The sequence below is a fragment of the Homo sapiens genome, chromosome 15, assembly GCF_000001405.40.
Source record: "Homo sapiens chromosome 15, GRCh38.p14 Primary Assembly".
Classification (NCBI taxonomy): Eukaryota; Metazoa; Chordata; class Mammalia; order Primates; family Hominidae; genus Homo; species Homo sapiens.
Genome location: NC_000015.10, coordinates 60,337,769 through 60,360,161, shown reverse-complemented (window position 1 = coordinate 60,360,161; position 22,393 = coordinate 60,337,769). Strand labels below are relative to the sequence as shown.

Below are 22,393 nucleotides of genomic sequence, written 5' to 3'. Positions count from 1 at the left end.
GCCTCAGCATCCCGAGTAGCTGGGATTACAGGCATGCGCCACTACGCCCAGCTAATTTTGTATTTTTAGTAGAGACGGGATTTCTCCATGTTGGTCAGGCTGGTCTCAAACTCCCGACCTCAGGTGATCTGCCCACCTTGGCCTCCCAAAGTGCTAGGATTACAGGCGTGAGCCACCGCGCCTGGCCAACATCAAGTTTTATATAAATGCAATAGATGCACACACATTAATGTATGTTGTACTGCAACACATTTGGACCCTTTTCTTAGTGTGGGTCTGCAGCATTTGAACAGTCCGACACTGCCCTCTGCTGATATACATGGGTAAAGTCTGCGCTGTAGATGAGGGAAACCATTGGTCTTGATTTTTTATTCCGAGTCTGTTTTCTCTGATGCCACTGTTCCTGAATTATGAACAGTCTGAGCTGTAAGCCTGTCACCAGAGCTAATGTCACAGTTCAGTTGTCATCCTTTTCCCAGAGAACACAAGAGTGAGGGTGCTTCGGACACTGGGCATCTCCAAAGCCTGGAATTTGATAGCTCAGGGCTGCTGTAAGATTTGTTGTTAAGTCTCTTTCTTCCTTTAGTTCTTCAGCTTAGCCCAAGCTGTGCTCAGTTTATTTTAGCGGACTTGTCTGAGTTTCCTAAGTAGACTGTACTGCAGAAAAGACGTCATTAAGAATGATAAAATGTCGACAACATTTCATGATCCTGGTTGATAAAAATAGCGCTCCTGAAAACCGAGTCTGTGGACCTTTGGAGGCAGGGATGAGTCAGCCTCTCCTAGGTTTCTTCTGACCATCAACACTTCAGATCAGTTTGTCTTATTTTCATCAAGAATCTATTTAGTTGTGATTCGAGTGGCTTTACTGGTATCTATTACTAGGTATTAGGGACTTGAAACAGACCTTTTTGAGCTGTCAGTCACTGTTGTAATCTATGTAATTGGGCCCAATGGAAGGTGCTTTAACTGCTGAAGCTTTGACCCTGTGCCAGCTCTTCCATTAGCTATCACAGTTGAATACCCGTCCAAAATCCATAAAGCTTGAAGTGACATTAACTGAACTATGCTTAAAAAAAAATCTGTTTTGACTTCTGGCAGTACCGGTGGCAGTATCTGCCATATGTTACAGTAGAATTTGCCCTTGTGATAGGAATTGTGGACAGTCTGTGGAGAGTTTGGGCCGGGCTTTGGAAATTGCCAAGGTCACCTTTGAATGTAGACATAAAAACACTATTGGAATTCTCAGATATTACCACTGGTATATCAGTGATGGAAGGAAACACATCTTACATTATTCTGCCTGTCTTGCAATTCTACAATGTCAGGATATAACATTTCTCCCACTGTGTGTTATTTTTAGACTATATTTCTATCATCCTTGAGATTGAACAACTGCCTCTCAAAATATTCAAAGATACTCGGTAGTCATTTAATAACATTTGTGTAGAATGCTGTATGGACCTTTTGCTAACAAGGGGAGAATTTTTGGCTTTGCTGGAACCTCTACAAATCATGATTAAAAACTCAGAAAGAAGAGCCATTGGCTCAAAGGTTAGATGAAGAATAAAATTCAAAATTAACCATTAACCTGAGGCTTAGCTTATATTATACAAACTACTTTTTCGGGGCATATAAACGCTAATAAGTTTAATTAATAGCTGACACGCTTTTCATGTGGGTAAGTTTCTTATTGTATTAACACCTTATAATTGATTTACATTTTAAACAGTTGTAATTCTACTTAGTTCAAAGTGATAGTTCCATATTCGGAAAGACAAGTATTAAAGAATCCTGATTATTAAATCTTGACTTTGATCATGAAGCCAGCTTTGAAATACATGTTTCATTGAGTCCTTTCAAGCTATCTGACATGCTCAAAAGTGTATATATTAAATTTGAATACATCACCCATCAAATTCTTATTCCTTAATAAAGTGTTGGTGTCTAGGTTTATTTGGCACTTCATTATTTCTTTTTGCTTCCCTAAAGTGCCTGAAGAGTGCATAATTATCAAGCAAAAATGGAAGGACAAGAATGAAATTTTTAACATTAACCCAATTTTACATTTCAAAGAGTGCAGCTAAAAATTTTTTCTTAACTATACCTTTGCCTGGTAAAAAGACTTACTCTAACAATGCTGGCTGCAAGTGACAACATAAAATTTCTGTATTCCTTTATTTTAGCGAGAATTGTTTAACAAAGAAATTTCTAATCTGTTAAAATAGTGAGTGGTTATTGTAGAAAGTGAAAAATAATAATAAGAAAAAGTTACTTTATCTACCCACAGCAAAAGGCAATTGCCAGTTTTAGTATTTTGGCATATTCTATTGCTGCCTCTTCCTATTCACTACTTTTTTTTTTTTTTGAGATGGGGTCTTACTCTGTCGTCCAGGCTGGAGTGCAGTGGCGCGATCTCGGCTCACTGCAAGCTCCACCTCCCAGGTTCACGCCATTCTCCTGCCTCAGCCTCCCAGGGTAGCTGGGACTACAGGCGCCCGCTACCATGCCCAGCTAATTTTTTGTATTTTTAGTAGAGATGGGGTTTCACTGTGTTAGCCAGAATGGTCTTGATCTCTTGACCTCGTGATCTGCCTGCCTTGGCCTCCCAAAGTGCTGGGATTACAGGCGTGAGCCACTGTGCCCAGCCCCTATTCACTACTTAAAAAAAAAAACCATATTAACAGTTGAACTCCAACATGCCAGTTCCACCATCTTGTGCTCTGGTGAAGCATTTTTTAAAGGAATAGAAAATGCCATTACTTTGTGCTAAGGGGTAGGAGTATAGATTCTTCAGAAGGAATGTAGAAAGCAGGATGCTAACAGACCCAATCCATGTTTGCAATTTACTTGATGGAGATCAGAGAAGTAGGCTAATGGTGGGGAAGCATTTCCCTGCTGATGTTCGTGCTTCCTGGTTCACAGGGGCTGGGAACCGACGAGGACTCTCTCATTGAGATCATCTGCTCCAGAACCAACCAGGAGCTGCAGGAAATTAACAGAGTCTACAAGGAAAGTGAGTAGCTTGATTTCTGTGATTCATCCTCTCAGCCCAATTTATGTGACTCTATCATGGCCACTGGGGTTAGGGTTCGGGCTAAGATGCCTGCATTAGTGATGTGCAGAAGTGCCTGCCACCTTGACTATGCAGGCAAGGTTGGCTGTGGTCCAAGTTTCTCTCCTTCACCTCCTCATTGCCTGCATTTTGATTATTACATTCCACTAGAACTTCTGTGTTAGAAGAAGGGTAGACAGGAGGGAAAGGAGAGAAAACAAAACTTGTTTTTAAACAAGATCGGATGAGGAGAAGTAGCAAGTATTATATATGGATTCCACTTATTGGGCGCTGTTCAGTGTCTGCTCAAGAGGTTGCCAACTCTGGACTGTGGATAATTGAAGAATTACAGCAAGAGACCCCTGTGGACTGGTGCACACTTAGCAGTATAGAAGGCTATGAGGGGAATAAACAATGCAACTTACATCGCTACTGCATTTCTTTTTTGTTTTACTTTTTAAAGTTATTATCATAGTTTTACATATTTTGGGGGTACATGTGATATTTTGGTACATGTATTATATATAATATGTAATTATCAAGTCAGGGTAATTGAGATATCCATCACCTCACACATTTATCTTTTTTTTTGTATCAGGAACATTACAGTTCTTCTCTAGCTACTGTATTTCAATATAGATGCTATTTTGAATATTGAAATATACTTTCATTCAAAAGCATTGTTTAATTCTTAGTAGTTTTTGCCGCTGTGCATTTTCTCAGTGGACAGTAAAGCACAATTGTGTGTGTGTGTGTGCGTGTGTAGACCTCCAATTTTTTTGATGTTCAGAACAAGTACTCACAGTCAGGAGGGCTGGGAGCCAGTATTTAAACTACACGAGAGGTCACCAATCAACGGTGAGCCTGAGGATCCCTGATTTGATCTAGCCCTGCTGCCCCCTGTTATGGATAATAACTCTGGCTCTGATTTCATGAGGGCGAAAATCATTCTAGTGAATCCTTCCTCTGTTTGGGGTTAAGGAGAATGGATATGTCCAGCTGACGTAGCTGTTCTGCTTCTCAGAGTCTTAGTGGGAAATGGGGAGATTGGGGTGGATGGTTGGCTACACAGGCAGAAAGCATAAAACCAGATGTATTTTCCTCCAAGTGTACAAGACTGATCTGGAGAAGGACATTATTTCGGACACATCTGGTGACTTCCGCAAGCTGATGGTTGCCCTGGCAAAGGTTGGTTTCCCAGTTTCTTTCTTTGCCCTTGCTTCCTCCCAAGGCAAGTCACATACCTCATTTTATACTTGGAGTGAATTAACTAAATCCCCTGTGCCTGCATCAGAAATTCAGCTGCATTTTTGAAAGTGGGTTTGCACTGTCACTGCAGAGTTGTCAATTTTGTATAATAGGATTTCTTATCCTGCAAAACCTCATGGACAAGTGGACTTTGGGAGCCAGAGAAGGGATGGGCGGCTCTCAAGTCCTGGCCTGGATTTATGTGCCAGAGCCTTGGCCGTGTGACTTAGGGAAGGTCACTTTGCCTCTATCTGTGGTCATGCAGGACCCAGTGGGAAGTGACCTTCTGGTTTCTTTTTCACTGCGTTTACTTCTCATGGAAGAATTTGCCCATATAGTCCTTTGTCTGGGGTGGAGTTGTCTTTGTGGAGCTGATTGCTAATATTAACACATTAACATGGAGGAAGGGGCATTTCCCCTGTGAATCCCTAGTTCTGGCCAGCGTGTAGCTTAATACTTATGTGCCAGGGGAGGGACGAGAGACCCTGGGAACCCTGATGACAAATGACAGATAGTGCGTCCGGCCCACTCACATCTCCATTACTGCAACAACTCCTATGCCATTCTCCCTCGCTCTCCTCTCTTCGCTACCACCTGCCCCATGTACCACCATCCACGGATCTCTGTGAAATACACTTTCACCATTTTACTCCTCTGTTCAAACCCCATTTCTGCTGCATCAAATTTAAACTCCTAACTGCTGTGAAAGGTCCTCTAAACCCTCCCTGCATCTTCTTTGCTCATCTTTCCCGCTCAGCTCTGCTCTGACAGGGCAGCTCCTTACTTACCTGAGAGCGTGCTGTGCCATCCCTTGTGTGCCAGCTGGCTCTCCCGCTCTGCTTGGCTAGCTGCATCTGACTGACCCTTGAAGTTTCAGCTTAAGCCCAGGCCCATCGTTCACACTCTTTGCTGACTCTGCCCTCTGAGAGTTCTTCCTCCGCCCGCATTTTGTGTCTTTCTAGTGCTGTGGGTTCCCGGGCTGCTTTACATTTGTTTCCACATATTCCTCCATCTGCATTGCAAGCTCTCTGTGAGAAAGAGCTAAATCTCATCAGCTTTTTGTGGGGGATGGGGACAGGGATTCTGTAAGGTGTGTAGGCCAGGACTGGGTATCAAGGGGGGGATTGTTGATGGCAAGGCACAGCCCCCACTTCCTTGCTCAATGATTTTACCACTCCTTGGCTGGTCTAGGTTTCTTTTTCTTTTTCTTTTCTTTCTTTCTTTTTTTTTTTTTTTTTTGAGACAGAGTCTCACTCTGTCACCAGGGTTGGAGTGCAGTGGCGTGATCTCAGATCACAGCAACCTGGTTCAAGCGATTCTCCTGCCTCAGCCTCCCGAGTAGCTGGGACTACAGGCATGTGCCACCACGCCTGGCTAATTTAGTAGAGACAGGGTTTCACCTTGTTAGCCAGGTTGGTCTCCATCTCCTGACCTCGTGATCTGCCCGCCTTGGCTTCCCAAAGTCCTAGGATTACAGGCGTGAGCCACCGTGCCCGGCCCCATCTATGTTTCAAAGTAAGAAAAATCTTACGTGGTTACTTATTTAGGAAATTAAATAATGGCGTACATGGACTGGGGAGAAAACATTTTCAGTTTTAAAATACACAAAGAAATGTATTTGAAGTTCTTTTTCTTTCCCCCATAGGGTAGAAGAGCAGAGGATGGCTCTGTCATTGATTATGAACTGATTGACCAAGATGCTCGGGTAAGTGCTGAGCTTTTTGCTTTGAGTTTTTGTTTTCTGGTAAGTCTCTGGATAGTCTATATAGTAATTTAACTCTGTGTGACAAATGACTCCCAAACTCTGTGGCTTAAAACAACAAACATGTATTATTTCTCAGTTTCTGTGTGTCAGGAATTGAGGAGTAGATTAGCCCAATTGTTCTGGCTCAGGGTCTTTTCTGAGGTTGCAGACAAAATGTTGCATGGCTGCAGTCACCTGAGGGCTTGACTGGGTCAAGGGAATCTGCTTCCAAGATGGTGCACTTCACATGACTGTTGGTAGGAGACCTTAGAATCGCTCCACATATGCCTCTCCATGGGGTTGTTTGAGCGTCCTCACAACATGGCAGCCGGCTTTCCCCAGAGCAAGCAATCTGCAAAGAGGAAGCCACAGTGTCTTTTATGACCTAACCTCAGGAGTCCCACCTTGCACTGCTGTCATACTCTTTTCATTAAAAGTGAGTCACTGAGTCTAGCCCACACTCAGTGGGAGGGGATTAGGCTCTTCCTTTGGAAGGGAGGAACCTCAAAGAATTTCTGGCCGTATTTTAAACCCACCATAGTCTGACAGCAATGTTTATTAGAAGACATTCTCTTATAATGCTGGTGTTACTTACAGAATCAATACGTGACTCACATATGCTCACTCAGGCTTTGCTTGTATGGAAGCATCAGTTTCTGCAGAGTGTAATGTGGCTGTGCATACCAATCAGGCAGGCAGGTGGGAAGCAGAAGAAGGTGGAGGAGACACAGCCAGGGACAGGATGGTGTACTGCTCTGTTGTGGTGGGGGAGAAAGGGAGGCCAGCAGAGACCTGTCCTTTTCTGGCTGAATAAGACTTTTGCCAGTTCTAGTTCCATTATCTCTGAGAACTATTTGTTAAGCTTATTCAGACTGCAATGAACTATATTCTTTACTCAGAGGGACAACGATTATCTCAAAGTAAGTCATAAAAGCTGCAGAAAAAAATTAATTTAAATTAATGTTAGTTTTAAAATTCAATATATTCCACACGGCACTTCTAGCAGGTAGTAGAGAAGGGTTTTAAATAAAGTAATAGAAGTTGGGTTTTGCAGTTCCTAGATGGTGGAAGATCACGGAATGAATATCTACCCTTGCATAAGCCTTTCTTCCTCTTGCCCTCCCTGCCATTGTTAGGGCTACTTGTAGCCCCTAAATTTTCCAGAAACTGAAAGTGAGATGAGATGGGCTCCTTTTCCAGCTCCATCACTCCCTGAGTCTCTGAGAAGCTTGAGAATGAGAGCCTGGTCTGTAGCTGTCCAGTAAACATCTGCTAGCTTATCTGCCCCTAAATGTGCCCAAAGGGAGGAGGGCCAGATGTGTTAATGAACATTTACTTGTTCTTCTTTATATGAATACAAGCTCTTGGTCCCTCCTTTCTTATTCAAGGAAGGAGATTGTACAGCAGACCTCACGAACTATCTGCAGTCTCATATGGTATCCATCTGTGCCTAAGGAAGACTGCTTGTGATTAAGACTTTTGACCTAAATAGTAGGTCTCTGCCCATGTCTGCAGTATAATCATCTTTCCTCGTTTGGCATTTTGAATGTGTAGCTTTTTTTGTTTTTTTTGCATGACATTTTTTTTGACGTTACATTGGATGTGTAGTTAACTTTTCCTGGTTGGTTGTACTCGTAGGATCTCTATGACGCTGGAGTGAAGAGGAAAGGAACTGATGTTCCCAAGTGGATCAGCATCATGACCGAGCGGAGCGTGCCCCACCTCCAGAAAGGTGGGCACTGTGCTGAGGGAGTCTCAGTGCCTTGGGGCCCTGGCTGGGGCGGCTGGGTGGATGTCCATGTTGGGATGGAGTCTGCCAGAATGAGGTTCTGTCTCCGCTTGGCACTCTCATAGGCTCACCCATTTTCCCTCACCTTTCTCTCCCATTCTGGATTCTTTTCTCTTGCAAATAGTTTCTGCATTTGGTGCTTTATTCTGCAGCTCCTTCTTGTTTGATGATCATTTGGTCTTGCCATTATTTGTTGAAGTAGTGGACTTTGGTGCATGCTCTGTACTGTTTCCTATGGTTTTCGGATGGAATGGGTTCCACTCAGGGGAGATAGAGATGGTCCAAATATGTGGCCTGGGCAGTGCCATTCAGGACAGGTGGTATGGCTGTTCCACGACAAACTTGGCCAATGTTGGCTCTGGTCACCGTGGTAACCTCTAAGCTCCTAGGATGCTGTGATCATCCTCAATTTTTAAAAAAATTATGGTGCATAAAACTAGGTGGGTGATCGTTGACAGCTTTGACTAGTGGCTCGGATCTGATAACTCTTTGTTGTTTTTCCTCAGTATTTGATAGGTACAAGAGTTACAGCCCTTATGACATGTTGGAAAGCATCAGGAAAGAGGTTAAAGGAGACCTGGAAAATGCTTTCCTGAACCTGGGTAAGTGAATGTGGCCCCCATTCCTGGTAGACATCAGCTACCAGAGCAGAAGTGACAGATGGCCATCCTGTTAATCCAAATGTGTTTGGGAGGTGTGGCTTCTATGCATGCTTTGGATAGTTTTACAGTCTTAATTGTATAGATTTCAGAATATAAAACTGAAGAAAGGCCTAACTTGGTAACAGATTGTTGCCAGGGAGGAGTAAGAGAACAGGAGGAGAGAGGGGTGTGTTGTGGAAACTCACGTATGCACTTGGGTTCTGCAGGCCTCAGAGACCCCTGGTTTAAAACCGTGGTGGAACTTAGTATTGCAGAGGATTTCTAGATTTCCCTTAGCCTGTCCTATTTTGCAGCCCTTTTCCATTGCATTAGGTCACTTCTGGTTTGTGGCCCAGGGCCAGGGCATCCTCTCTCATTGGTAGAGGAGAGACCAGAGCAGCTGCAGCGCTGACTCCCTTTCTTCTCTCCACAGTTCAGTGCATTCAGAACAAGCCCCTGTATTTTGCTGATCGGCTGTATGACTCCATGAAGGTAAGGGCAGCTGGCTGAGAGAGCTGTGTTTCCACACTCAGCTTTTCTTCTTTTGGGTCCCAAATTGAGTCTCCTTGATTCATGGATGGAGGAAGGGGACCCCACTGTGTGGATGCAGGAACACACTAGTCAGCTGTGGTTGTATGTGACAGCTGAGAGAACCACAAATCTGTCTTCTTTCTCTCAGCTGCTTGAACATGTATTTGCGTACAGACAAAAAGTAAAGTGCCATGGGAGAGAGAAAATGCGACATGGTAGTCGTGTCTGATCCCTGCTTAGGTTTCTCCGTGATTTCTTCCTGTTACTGCCAGAGTCAAGACAAGCGAGGAAGGGAGCGATTATTAAGCACCCACTATACAGTGGACAAGTGCTACTATTTTACCTTAAATCATTGCATAACAACCTCTGAGGCTTATGATTATCTTCTTTATAAATGCAGAGATGGAGCTCAGAATACCTCAGCCTGCTTGAAGTTACACAGACAGATTTGAACCTGGGTCTATCAGACCCCAAAGACAGCCCCACAACCCTTCCCTAAACGAACCACCTCTTCCCGTAGACCCATCCCATTTTCTACACCTCAAGTGTGCCATGTGTTTTCTGGCTTCTAGGCTTTTGCATTTTCCTTCTGGAACATCTCCCTTGTCTGTGCTGCCTCTGCCATCTGTCTTTGAGTTCCATATCAAATAGCACCCCTTGGTGCCTTCGCTCTGATGCTCTGGAAGTAAACTCAGTGGTCTTTATTGCACATATCATTAGAAATGGCACAGAGCGATGATAGAAATGTGTTGGCATGTTCCCTCTAAGCCTGCAAGAGTCAGGAACCTCTTGTTACATATGGAGACTCAGACTGCTTGAACTGAGCCTTGCAGTAGTAGGTGCTCAGTATATATTTATTGAATGGTGGCATAGAGTGGGAGTCTGTGCTGACTACAGCCTGGTGTGTTTGGAATTCCCAGATGCTCTTCTTTCTTTTCTTTTCTTGTCTTGTCTTTTTTTTTCTTTCTTTTTTCCTCCCTCCCTCCCTGCCTTCCCCTGCCTCCCTGCCTTCCCCTCCCTCCCTGCCTTCCCCTCCCTCCCTGCCTTCCCCTCCCTCCCTGCCTTCCCCTCCCTCCCTGCCTTCCCCTGCCTCCCTGCCTTCCCCTCCCTCCCTGCCTTCCCCTGCCTCCCTGCCTTCCCCTCCCTCCCTGCCTTCCCCTGCCTCCCTGCCTTCCCCTCCCTCCCTGCCTTCCCCTGCCTCCCTGCCTTCCCCTGCCTCCCTGCCTTCCCCTGCCTCCCTGCCTTCCCCTGCCTCCCTGCCTTCTCCTGCCTCCTTGCCTTCCCCTGCCTCCCTGCCTTCACCTCCCTCCCTTTCCTTCCCCTCCCTCCCTTTCCTTCCTTTCCCTTTCCCTTTCTTCTCTCTTTCTCTCTCCTTCCTTCCTTCCCTTTTTCTTTCTTTCTCTCTTTCTTTCTCTCTCTCTCTCTGTCTTTCCCTCTCTCTCTCTGTCTTTCCTTTCTTATAGGTTTTTGGGAAACAAGTAGTGTTCGGTTACATGAATAAGTTCTTTCGTGGTGATTTTTGAGATTTTGGTGTACTTATCACCCAGGCAGTGTACACTGTGCCCTAATATCCCTTATCCAAAATGCTTGGGACCAGGAATGTTTTATATCTCAGATTTATTTTTGATTTTGTAATATTTGCATATATATGATGAAATATTTTAGGGATGGGACCCAAGTCTAAACTTGAGATTCATTTATGTTTTATATAGACCTTACACACATAGCCTAAAGGTAATTTTATACAACGCTTTTGATAATTTTGTGCATGAAACAGTTTGTGTTAAGTGCTGTATGTGGAATTTTTCATTGTGGCATCATGTCGGCACTGAAAAAGTTTTGGATTTTGGAGCATTTTAGATTTCAGATTTTCAGATCAGGGATGCTCAACCTGTAGACGCTTTCTTTAACGATAACATTCTCAGCGAATGTAACAAATATCAACTTGATTTTCAGGGCAAGGGGACGCGAGATAAGGTCCTGATCAGAATCATGGTCTCCCGCAGTGAAGTGGACATGTTGAAAATTAGGTCTGAATTCAAGAGAAAGTACGGCAAGTCCCTGTACTATTATATCCAGGTAAGCCCGAGGTGCAGTGTCAGCCTGCCCTGCCGTCCAGAGCACCCCGGGCCCTGGCAGGTGGCCTGGCAGAATGATGACAGAGTGGCGATTTTCTGTTTTCTGACTCTCTGGGGAAGAGATGCTAGTCATCAACTATCAGGGATTTATTTTGAAAGCACCATTTGTGATTTGTCCTGGACTTTGTACAATCAGGCAGATGTTTTATATTTTTCACATCTGTTACTCTACAATGATCATCGGTGTTCATGACGATGATCCTGCAAGGCTTGCTGACATCCCGAAGAGGCTTGGAAGATCAGTTACATTTTACTTTTTTTTTTTTTTTTGAGACGGAGTCTTGCTCTCTCGCCCAGGCTGGAGTGCAGTGGCCACAATCTCGGCTCACTGCAACCTCCGACTTCTGGGTTCACACCATTTTCCTGCCTCAGCCTCCCAAGTAGCTAGGACTACAGGCGCCCGCCACCACACCCGGCTAATTTTTTTGTATTTTTAGTAGAGACAGGGTTTCACCGTGTTAGCCAGGATGGTCTCGATCTCCTGACCTCGTGATCCGCCCGCCTCGGCCTCCCAAAGTGCTGGGATGACAGGCGTGAGCCACTGCGCCCGGCCACATTTTACTTTTATTATGCATTGGTTCCTTGAAAAATCCTCTGGGATAGGCCTAACAACTTTCAGTTATTCAGAACTCCCATCTCTCCAATCAGTTTAGCATCTGTCTGTTTTGATGTGATGTCGCATTTGCAGTAAGGAAGTGATGGCATTCACAGTGGTACCACTGTGTAGATTTCAGACAGCCCTTGCAATTCCCCTTTCTAGAAGTTCCTCAGATGTCCAAAGGCATGCCCATGGTTAGCAAGGATAAAGTTAGAGCTGGATTTTTTGTAGCCAGGTTTATTAGGGCACATGTTTAAAGTCAAAGGACCAGTTAGACTCTTAGTAATTGTTCCTCACCTCACCAGCTTATTTCCACTTGACCTTAATAATGCAGGAAATAGGAGAGTGAGCTAGGAAAGTACCCTGTTTTCTGTGGAAAGACGAGGACGAGAGAGGAAAGTTAGGGTGTTTGTAGGACCTTGCTGCAGTAAGAACAGCCCTGGTCACTAACCTATGTCAATCCTCAGCACCTTGCACTCCCTCCACCCCACAGTCCTAAGGAGCCTTGAGTGTCTTCCCCAGCACCTCCTCCGACCACACTCCTGGAGGCTTCCCTGGCAATGGTTTGGGTGTGGCCTTCCAGGCCTTTGTATCAGGGCAGGTCTCCTGCAGAGTCTTCTCTTTGTCATGGGAGAAGCTTCATTGTGCGTTGAGGCTACTTCTGTGTTATTGAGGAGTCTGGGCTTTTTTCTGATACCACGTTTCTTTTCTTTCCTGGGCCATTGTAGCAAGACACTAAGGGCGACTACCAGAAAGCGCTGCTGTACCTGTGTGGTGGAGATGACTGAAGCCCGACACGGCCTGAGCGTCCAGAAATGGTGCTCACCATGCTTCCAGCTAACAGGTCTAGAAAACCAGCTTGCGAATAACAGTCCCCGTGGCCATCCCTGTGAGGGTGACGTTAGCATTACCCCCAACCTCATTTTAGTTGCCTAAGCATTGCCTGGCCTTCCTGTCTAGTCTCTCCTGTAAGCCAAAGAAATGAACATTCCAAGGAGTTGGAAGTGAAGTCTATGATGTGAAACACTTTGCCTCCTGTGTACTGTGTCATAAACAGATGAATAAACTGAATTTGTACTTTAGAAACACGTACTTTGTGGCCCTGCTTTCAACTGAATTGTTTGAAAATTAAACGTGCTTGGGGTTCAGCTGGTGAGGCTGTCCCTGTAGGAAGAAAGCTCTGGGACTGAGCTGTACAGTATGGTTGCCCCTATCCAAGTGTCGCTATTTAAGTTAAATTTAAATGAAATAAAATAAAATAAAATCAGTTCCTGAGTCACACAATCCACATTTCGAATGCTCAGCTTTCACATGTGGTCAGCAGCTAGTATATCTGGACAGCGCAGGCAGGGAACATTTCGATAGAAAGTTCTGTTGGGCAGCAGTACATGCCCAGGGCATGAGAGGACCTATGGGGGAGAAAAAGGGTCCCAGAGGGACCCCTTATCTGCTTATCTTTCTACAGGTTAATTAGGTGAAAATAAGCATCAGGGGCAGCCACAAACTGGAGAGAGCAGTGGGGCAGGGTGGGGCAGGCTACAGCATTCTGGCAAAGGAGATCCAACACAAGCCGATGGGAAGCACGGAGAAGGGATTTCTTTTGACTGGGAGGATTGAGAAAGATGATAGAGAAAAGGAACAATTTGAGCTGCACACTAAAATCTAAGGTGAGGTTTTACAGCTGGGAGAAAGCACTCCATGCAGGTTCTTAAGGGTCTGGGAATGAATGACAGGTCGCTGATACAATGGTACACATGTCAAAAAGTTCAGAGACTTCTTTCTGTACAGGGAAAGTTATGTCTCTCCCTTACTAGCCAGTGGCCTTCCCTGGAGTCGCCTGGTTTCCAGTACATTTTCATGGATAGACTGCATACGCATGTATATATATGTATCTATCTGTGTTCATAAATGTGAAGGTGCTGTCCCCAGGCTGCTGGTACTGGGTTCTGCAGATTCCTTTTTATACAAGTGCTCCCCATAAGCAGGGTAGAGGGCTGGGAGTGAGGGGAAGTTGACTACTCCTCCTAACCCTTCTCCTTAGTGGAGGGTGTGTCAACTACTCATTTTTGGCACCTGGCTGATGCAGGGCCCACTCAGTCATCTGCAGGGACTAGGTAGGTAATGGAAATGAATGTATGAAATGGGCAGGTTGGACAGAAGTGGGGAATCTGGGGAAAATGGGGAATGCCTGCCTTGCTTGAGGCATTCAAATTCAATTCAAACAACAGTCGTAACAACATGGCATTGACCAAACCAAATACATCCGTGAGCTGATTGGCTGCTATTTTGGCCCTTTGGCAAACTTTAGATGGAAATTTGGATCGAGCATGGCTCTTGGGTCACTAGTGGCCCATAACGTATGTGAAAGGCCCCTGAGATAGTCCTTAAAAAGCAGGTTATGCAAAAATCAGGTATTTTATCAAATGTGTCCTGCCTATACATATTAAAATGGATGCCCCAAATCACAGAATATACTGTTCTGTGTGCTTGGGCAGAGTTCAAGGAACTGCCTAAGAAGCAGGACCTTTCTCATTAACCCCAAATTATACTGAACTCAGAATTGATAGGGCTGGGCAGAGACTGTCAGGAGCAGTGTTTCAGATCAGTGAACATTTAGGCATTGTTACCTCTCAATCATACGTGTGTTTCAGGCTGCAAAGGGAGCAGTGGTGTGGAGCAGACAAGGCCATGGGGTGAATATGGGGAAACTTACGCTCCCACTGTGCCCAGGACAGTCTGGCCACTGGTGTGGCCAACAGGTATGTGGGAAAGTTGAAAGGGCAGGCCAACATAGGAAAGGCGCTTGGAGAACTGTTTCAAACACTGTCTACTGTTTTTCCTCTATACAAAGCAATGGCAGTCCAGTGTTTTCCAAAACTCACAGCCAGGGCACTTGAATTTTGGTCCCATTTTCTTCTGGATTTCAGCCTGTCCTCTTCAGTCAAGCTGTCCAAACTGTTTCATGAATAAAGAGAACCATCTGGAGGTTTGACTTATTCTCCCCAGAAATTTTACTTTGCAAAGAGAAGGAAAAGGGTACCTGGCAGGCTGTGAGTTGGTAACAAGAACTTTGATTTTATTCTTTGAGGAATAAAAGGTAATTGATGCAATGTAGCTATGAAAACTTATTGTACTGTAACACTGTGATCAAGAACATGATTTTTTTCTCCCTGCCTTGGTGGGGCTGGGCAGAGCCATCATGTTGCACAACCCCAGAGAACACTCATCCTGTTGTAGTCTATGTGAATGATACCTCCCTTGGTGTTGTGCAGTGCACAACCTGTGCAGCCATACATGACAGCCCTGTATTGTGACCTAGGTGTGTGTGAGATGGTCTTTTCCGCCTTTTGCTACAGAGTTGCCCTTCCAGTTAAAAAAGTTAGAAGGCAAATCTTATTGAGAAACAAATGGGTGAACCCCGAAAGGTCTTGACTTCTCCATGGACTTGATCTTCAGACCAGTTTTACTGGGCTATGCACAAATGGCTGTATATATGAATCTTCCCCAGTATGTGAAGTTCCCATGGTATAAACTATTAGTAAATATAGCTACAGCAGGGAAAACCAGGCTCACAAAATGGCTACATTTAGCAAGACAAATGATTTGAGGACAGAAATCTTTTAAATCAATTTTTAGTTTTTAAATGACTCCCGTCTCCAGTCCTCTCCCTGTGTTTTGACAAACGGCTTTGGCTTCTTATCCACATCGGTTTATTTGACCTCCTTTTTCCATCAACTACCAAAATGAAAACTCTGCTGCAAGAGCGAGGAGAGAGAGTGCGAGCAATTTTAAACATCCCTTAGCAGTGAGGCAGAACATGCTACAGCCATCAAGTTCTAGTTGTTCATTCTATTTATTGAGAAAAGCTTGTAGCCCGATTTCTTTTACGCGAGTACATTTGAGCAAGCAAAGTTTATAGAGATGACTTACCTCATTACATTAGAAGAGTGATTTGCTATCTCAGCATCTATAAGCAATTTTAACAGACATTTCTGGATGAAGAAAAGCTTTTGTAAATATATGCGAAAGACACAATTTCATCAAGCATTAAATTGGAGGTGCCCTGGAAAAATATTACATTTGTGCACTCAATTAGCTTGATTGTGGCTGAATTTTGTCCACTGAAGGCAGCATTTCTGCAGAAAAACAGAAGCATTCCCTATGTCAGCAGGTTTCCTGAAACAAAAACACTTTCCCCTGAAACAAAAACACTTTGCCAGTCCTCTTTTGCATTTGTGCTGTTCCCAGCTCTGTGTCCCTAATCAGGCCTCTCGGTCTTGTTCCTCGCAGTAGAATGTTAGAGGAGAGGGAACCAGATAGAAATCCCTGACAGAAATCCAAACTCAACAATTCCAGCTTTAAATAGCCTGCATTCGGTGCAAAAGCTAGGCAAGCTCTGGGCAAAATTGGGAGGGAGTCAAAGGTAGACTTAAGTCTTCCTGGTCTCCTTACAGGGTCTGTAGGACAGCTGTGCCTCCTGCTGCTCCCAGGACTCTGGTGGCCTCCTTACTGCTCTGGGAAGGGCATCTCCCAGCTACTCCTTGGTATGGCTGTTAGCCCATGTCCTTTTCCCTGGGATGAGTCTGCAGGACCCACCCTATCTTCTATCTTGGAATGGAAGTTTTGTCCTCCTAGTACAGGCATGAGAAGAGTTAGGAAATGAATGGTTGGGGTACAAGAGGACTTTCTTGTGCCCCTAAAATCAGTGAAGGAAATGAGCTAAATATTTAGGGATGATCGTGGCCCTCCTCCAACACACCCCTGACCCCCTTGCTGACCTGTAGTTGAACCACCAGGTCTCTACTAATAAGAAACAAACCAGAAAAAACATGTAATGCCACTGGAACCTGGCTGTGAGGGTGGCTGATGTTTTTAAACAGTTGGTGAGGACAAATTGGAACTTTCTCAGCTGTAATCCATTACAGCCTGATACAGCTTGGCTCTGTGTCCTCAGCCAGATCTCATCTCCAATTGTAATCGCCACGTGTGGAGGGAAGGAGGTGATTGGATCACAGGGGTGGGTTTCCCCCATGCTCTTCCTGTGACTGAGTTCTCATGAGATCTGATGGTTTTACAACTGTCTGGCATTTCCCCTGCTTGCACGTCTCTCTCCTACTGCCATGTGAAGAGGGTCCATGCTTCCCCTTCACCTTCTGCCGTGATTGTAGCTTCCTGAGGCCTACCCAGCCATGTAGAACAGTGAGTCAATTAAATCTCTTTTCTTTATAAATTACCCAGTCTCGGGTAGTATCTTTATAGCAATGTGAGAATGAACTAATGTATAGCCCAAGGCAATTATGCTTTCAAGTAAATGTCTAAAGATTAATTAATCCAAGAAATAACAAGGAGTTTGGATTAGGAACAGAGAAATGTTTGAAACAAGCCTTTGTTACTCCGAGATCGCCAGATTTCAAATTTTACCATGGAGTCTTGGGTTTTGGAGAACCATCTTGGTCTCAATGAATTGCCTTTGTCTGAATAGACATGAGCTGATATATGACTATGAAGATTTGTTAAAGTCTATAGTTCTGCAGGTAATATTGGTCCTCAGTCATCCATGTATTCATTCATTGACTTCATTTATTCAATAGACACACCTCCTATGTGCTGGTCCCTGAACAAAGCACTAGGGATATGGAGATAAGAGAGAGTAAGAGCAAGGCAAAGCCAGCCAAGCAGAATGACAAGGGCTGTGATTGGGAAAAGCACAGGCACTTGGGGGTTGAGAGTAGCTGATTGCATCCAAGAGAACCACCTGGAAAGTTTCTAGGGGCGGCAATCCTTTTTTGTTTTGTTCTTTTTTTTTTTTTTTTTTTTGACAAATCCTTGCTTTGTCACCCAGGCTGGAGTGCAGTGGTGTGGACATGGCTCACTGCAGCCTTGACCTCCTAGGCTCAAGCTGTCCCTGCCTCAGTCCCCTGAGTTGCTGGGACTACAGGTGCATACCACCACACCTAGATAATTTTTGTATTTCTTCGTGGAGATGGAGTTTTGCCATGTTGCCCAGACTGGTGTCGAACTCCAGAGTTCAAGTGATCCACCCACCTCGGCCTCCCAAAGTGCTGGGATTACAGGCATGAGGAGGCAATCCATAAAGCTGGATTTTTTGGTTGTTGTTTTTTTGGTATGGTTTTCTTAAAAGAGGATTATATAATCATTGCAGAAAGTTGGAAAACACAGAAAAGTGTGAAGAAGAAAACGGAAATCACCTGAAACCCCAGTTGGAACGGATTGCTATTAATATAATTGGCAAGATGACCCATTTGGGAATCAGCTCTTGTTTCCTTGACAGAAAGCTCATCAGAAAGAACAAGAGGCAGTTTTTCCTCCCCCTTCTCAAAGAGGAGTTGGTGTTTAGGCAGCCACAGTCAGGCCTTCCTCGCCCCATGGGAGAGTTAAGGTGGCTTTTGGTTTTTCAATGTCTAGTTCAATCCAGGATATATACCTGGATTATCTCAAAGGAGTGGGCTGTGGGGTGAAAGAGAGAAGCAAACAGCCTTTCCCTGGGAGAGCTGGGTTTCCAGAGATGGAAAGAGGAAGTTCCCAGGTGATGGGAAATGGTGCCCAGCCCCCATATATCACCTGGAGTGTCTGACCGCTGATTGGGAAGTCGAGTGTTTGCAGGAGATCAAAAACTGACCACAGCAGTATTGGGTACCCCTGGAAAAGTCTTCTTGACTGGGCCTGGGAATGGGGAATGAGGTCCTGCTCAATGTCAAAGCCTATTTTCCAATCTCAGTCTGATTTGACACCATTTCTTCTCGCATTACCAGAACAGCCCACATCCCACGATGGGAAGCTGGAAGGGAATCTTTTTATGGGTACCCCCTGACTTTGTTTTCTTTTTGACTTTTTATACCTACAATATGTTTCCCAGACAAATCATAGTAAGTATTTCAGACACCTCAGGGCCCCATAATTTAGAGCTAACTTTGTGCTTTGAAGAGCCTAAGTTAATGCAATTTTATGTATCAGTAGGGAACACAGGTTCCCATCAGAGTCATAAAACGAGGAAAGGAAAATGAAGTTTGCACCCAGATATTGTATTTTGAACTGCTGTGAAAACAAAGAAATCACAGAAAATGATTTCAGAGCATAGATGAAGCAAAGAAAGAGGTAGTAGAATCAAAACTTTTCAGCTCTTTAGTGACATAATTGCCAGTTCTGTTTTTCTTCTTCCTTAGAGACACAGTCTTGCTGTATTGCCCAGGAGGGAGTGCAGTGGCTATTCACAGGCATGATCACAGTGCACTGCAGCCTCAAACTCCTGGTCCCAAATGATCCTCCCCACTCAGCCTCCTGAGTCGCTGGGACTACAGGTGTGCACTAGCGTGGGAGGGGGGGCAGCCATTTCTGTTGTAATATGAGGTTTCCATGTAATTGACACCTGGCTTCTCATAGTGACAGACACAGAGTAAGGTAAGGTATGTTAGCCTTCTTCCTAGCCTGTGTGTTGTTTATTTCTTCCTTTGGCCAAGGCCTCCAGAACTCCACATAGAAATTCAGTCCTGGCCCTCCCTCATTTCATCCCGGCCTGGGCATGGAATGTTGACTCAGCTGCGCCTCCTGCTGCTCCCGAGACTCTGTTGGCCTCCTTACCCCTCGGGGAAGGGGTGAGCTGTGCCTGGGGCTCATGCTTTTTCCCCCTCTCATAACCCCGGTCATGTTGGGGCTGAGACTGCTATGCCCCGGGAGCTGACCTCATCTCCCAGCTACTTGGAAGCCCTGTTCTTGCATCACCCTTCTCCCCATGCCCCAGAACCCCTCCTGTCATTCCCTGTCCTGCTCTGCTCAGTTCCCTCTTGGAGGAGTGTTTGCACAATAGGGACAGCAATTTCTTAAAGGGTGGGCCCTGCCCTGGTGCTTGGAGTATCCCATCACTTTATCCAAGGACCTCTGCTGTCTTTCCATCATTGCTGGTGACTCTTTGCTCCTACTTAGAACATTTGCTGCAACCCCTTGCCTGCCTCACCTTATTATAAATAATCTGCCTGCCACTGATGAATTCAGAGATGATGACACAAGTTGTTTGTTTGGCACAAAGAATGTGCTACGCAAGTCCAAAGACCAGATAACAACCTTGTCCTCTCTTCCCCCATCCATCGGTCTCTCTGCCGGAAACTCCCCCCTTGACATTGGTCTTGGCATTAAGATTTGTCCTCAGGAAAAAAAAAAATAATTGGAAGGGGTGATCCATCAATCCTTTAGCATACTTGATTTTATATTCATTTATCATTTCTTCAACAGAGAATATGGCTCTTAAAGAAGGGAACGTGGGGCGGGGACTATTGAACAGGGTATGAGAAAGTGTGTAGCATAACCGGAGGCTGAATGTAAGTAAGCATTTAACTGGAAGAGCCAGATAAGGTGGGTCATTAATGTACTTTTGACGTATTTTATAATGTAATTCTGGGTTTGATACTAGAAGTTTTGAGGGACTCTCCCTCAGAGATACATAAATCAATCAATTCCTATCTCCACCAAATAAAGTCTATAGGGTTAAAGGTGCTCAGTGGTTAGCCTGCTGGGTCGAAGGTGTCTGGGACCACCTGTGGGGCCATAGGACAGTCAGGATGATTGTCTCTGGGTTGGATTCACCTGCAACAAAGGCTGTTACCCTTGAACCCCAGTGGAAGCCTGGGAGTTCTCTTAAGCTGAATCTTTTCCCCAGGGTCTCCCCACTTAGTGTTCCTTATGGCTTTGCTCCCCTGGGAATAATAGTGTCTACCCTGTAGGGTTGTTGTGAGGATTAAATGAGGCAATACGTGTAATGTCACTGGTATAGTTCTTAGTATAAAGGAAGCATTTACTAAAACAAATAAATACATGTAATATATTACCACATCTATAATATATGTCATATTGTAGTGTACGATTAGAGACTGGGCCCCATGGACCTAGGAAAGACTCTTCCTGCTATGCGCTGCTTGGCCTTGGCAGAATCCAGCAGGACACTGGACAATCATTCCAGGGATGCCTTGTGGCTTATCTCCTTCTCGGGCCTGTTTCCATTTGGGGATTCGACCTCCTTGGTTCTCTTGTCTAATAGCCTCGGATGTGCCTCCTGCCGCCTTTCTCTCTGTCAGTGAACCACAAGACCTGACTCTGTGAGCCCTCCGGGAAGCGTACAGAGTGTTTCGACCTTAGGTGATGTGAGGGGAGGTGTTAATGAGTTGCCTATACAGCAACATCATATATTTTCTTGGCAGTGAGGCAGGTTTTTTTGTTTCCATCAATTTTGGACCTTATCAAGTTGATGACTATATGTAGTCTGATGATGGGTGAGAAATAATATTCATGATGTCCGGTGCCTCTTGTTCCTGAAAATCAATTAATTTGGTTACCTAACACAGGGCAGTTCCTTGAGGGAGAGGATAAAAGTTCACTTCCTGGAGCCATGTAACTATGACTCTGATTAAACAACCGTAACAAAAACTGTAGGAAACATTGAGCCAGCTACATTCAGGGGATTTTTGGCCCCACAATATTAGAAGATACTAGGAAGGTCAGGAAGCCTGGGCTGTATAGTTTCTCTTCCACGTGGACATATTCACCCAACAGGTCCAGGCAGTTCTTCTCACACTTGTTTCTGTGACTAAGTCCCTGCCAATCACTTCTGGGGACATCACAGAATAATGATCCATTTTATATTTATTATATAAACCAGCAGTTTTGCTAGTGGGAAATTTTAATCATATGTGTGCAGGTATTATGCCTCAATTTTATGCATAAAATATTTTCAGGATGTGACATGTACAGTGATGGGTTTTTCTCCCTCCTTGTATCTCTGCTTTCCTCTTTTCCTGGAATCTGGCCTCAAGGCACAGATGGGCACACATACCCTCTTAGCCTAACAACAAGTAAGAAGAAGGCTTGCTAGTGGACATTAATCTTCTCAGGGGATAGAGTTTGATTGTCTTTGAGTCCACTTCATTTTCTCCTCCTCAGAACCTGAATCTGGAGCAGAGATGAAACAGGGAATGCCCGATCCATCTATATCAGAAGAGAGAGCTATAGAGGGGATTCAGGAAGAGGAGGCGTGAAGGAATCATAGGAAAGGCAGAGTGAGGCCAGGCGCAGTGGCTCCTGCCTGTAATCCCAGCACTTTGGGAGGCCGAGGCAGGTGGATCATGAGGTCAGGAGTTTGAGACCAGTCTGGCCAACATAGTGAAACCCTGTCTCTACTAAAAGAATACAAAAATTAGCTGGGTGTGGTGGTGCGTGCCTGTAATCCCAGCTACTCGGGAGGCTGAGGCAAGAGGATTGTTCGAACCTAGGAAGCAGAGGTTGCAGTGAGCCAAGATGGCACCATTGCACTTCAGCCTGGGTGACAGAGCAAGACTCCGTCTCAAAAAAAAAAAAAAAAAAGAAAGCCAGAGCGAAAAAGGTACAAGAGGCTGGGCGCAGTGGCTCACGCCTGTAATCCCAGCACTTTGGGAGGCCTAGGCCGGTGGATCACTTGAGGTCAAAAGTTCAAGACCAGGCTGGCCAACATGGTGAAACACGTCTCTACTAAAAATACAAAAATCAGCTGGGCATGGTGGCGGGTGCCTGTAATTCCAGCTACTTAGGAGGCTGAGGCATGAGAATCCCTTGAATCTGGGAGGTGGAGGTTGCGGTGAGCCGAGATCACGCCACTGCACTCCAGC

General features: G+C 44.9%; 1 protein-coding gene across 12 annotated transcripts in view; it reads left to right on the top strand.

The window, feature by feature from the left end:
* ANXA2 (annexin A2) overlaps nt 1–13,011 on the top strand; it is a 50,836-nt gene extending 37,825 nt beyond the window's left edge. For all 12 annotated transcript variants that reach the window (NM_004039.3, NM_001136015.3, XM_047432407.1 and 9 more), the window contains 8 exons: nt 2,926–3,016; nt 4,164–4,243; nt 5,949–6,008; nt 7,686–7,779; nt 8,343–8,438; nt 8,911–8,969; nt 10,965–11,087; nt 12,473–13,011. In NM_004039.3, coding sequence (NP_004030.1) covers nt 2,926–3,016; nt 4,164–4,243; nt 5,949–6,008; nt 7,686–7,779; nt 8,343–8,438; nt 8,911–8,969; nt 10,965–11,087; nt 12,473–12,532 — 663 coding nt within the window. In that variant the 3' untranslated portion in view covers nt 12,533–13,011. The remainder of the gene's footprint in view (nt 1–2,925; nt 3,017–4,163; nt 4,244–5,948; nt 6,009–7,685; nt 7,780–8,342; nt 8,439–8,910; nt 8,970–10,964; nt 11,088–12,472) is intronic.
* Nucleotides 13,012–22,393: the final 9,382 nt, after the last annotated feature.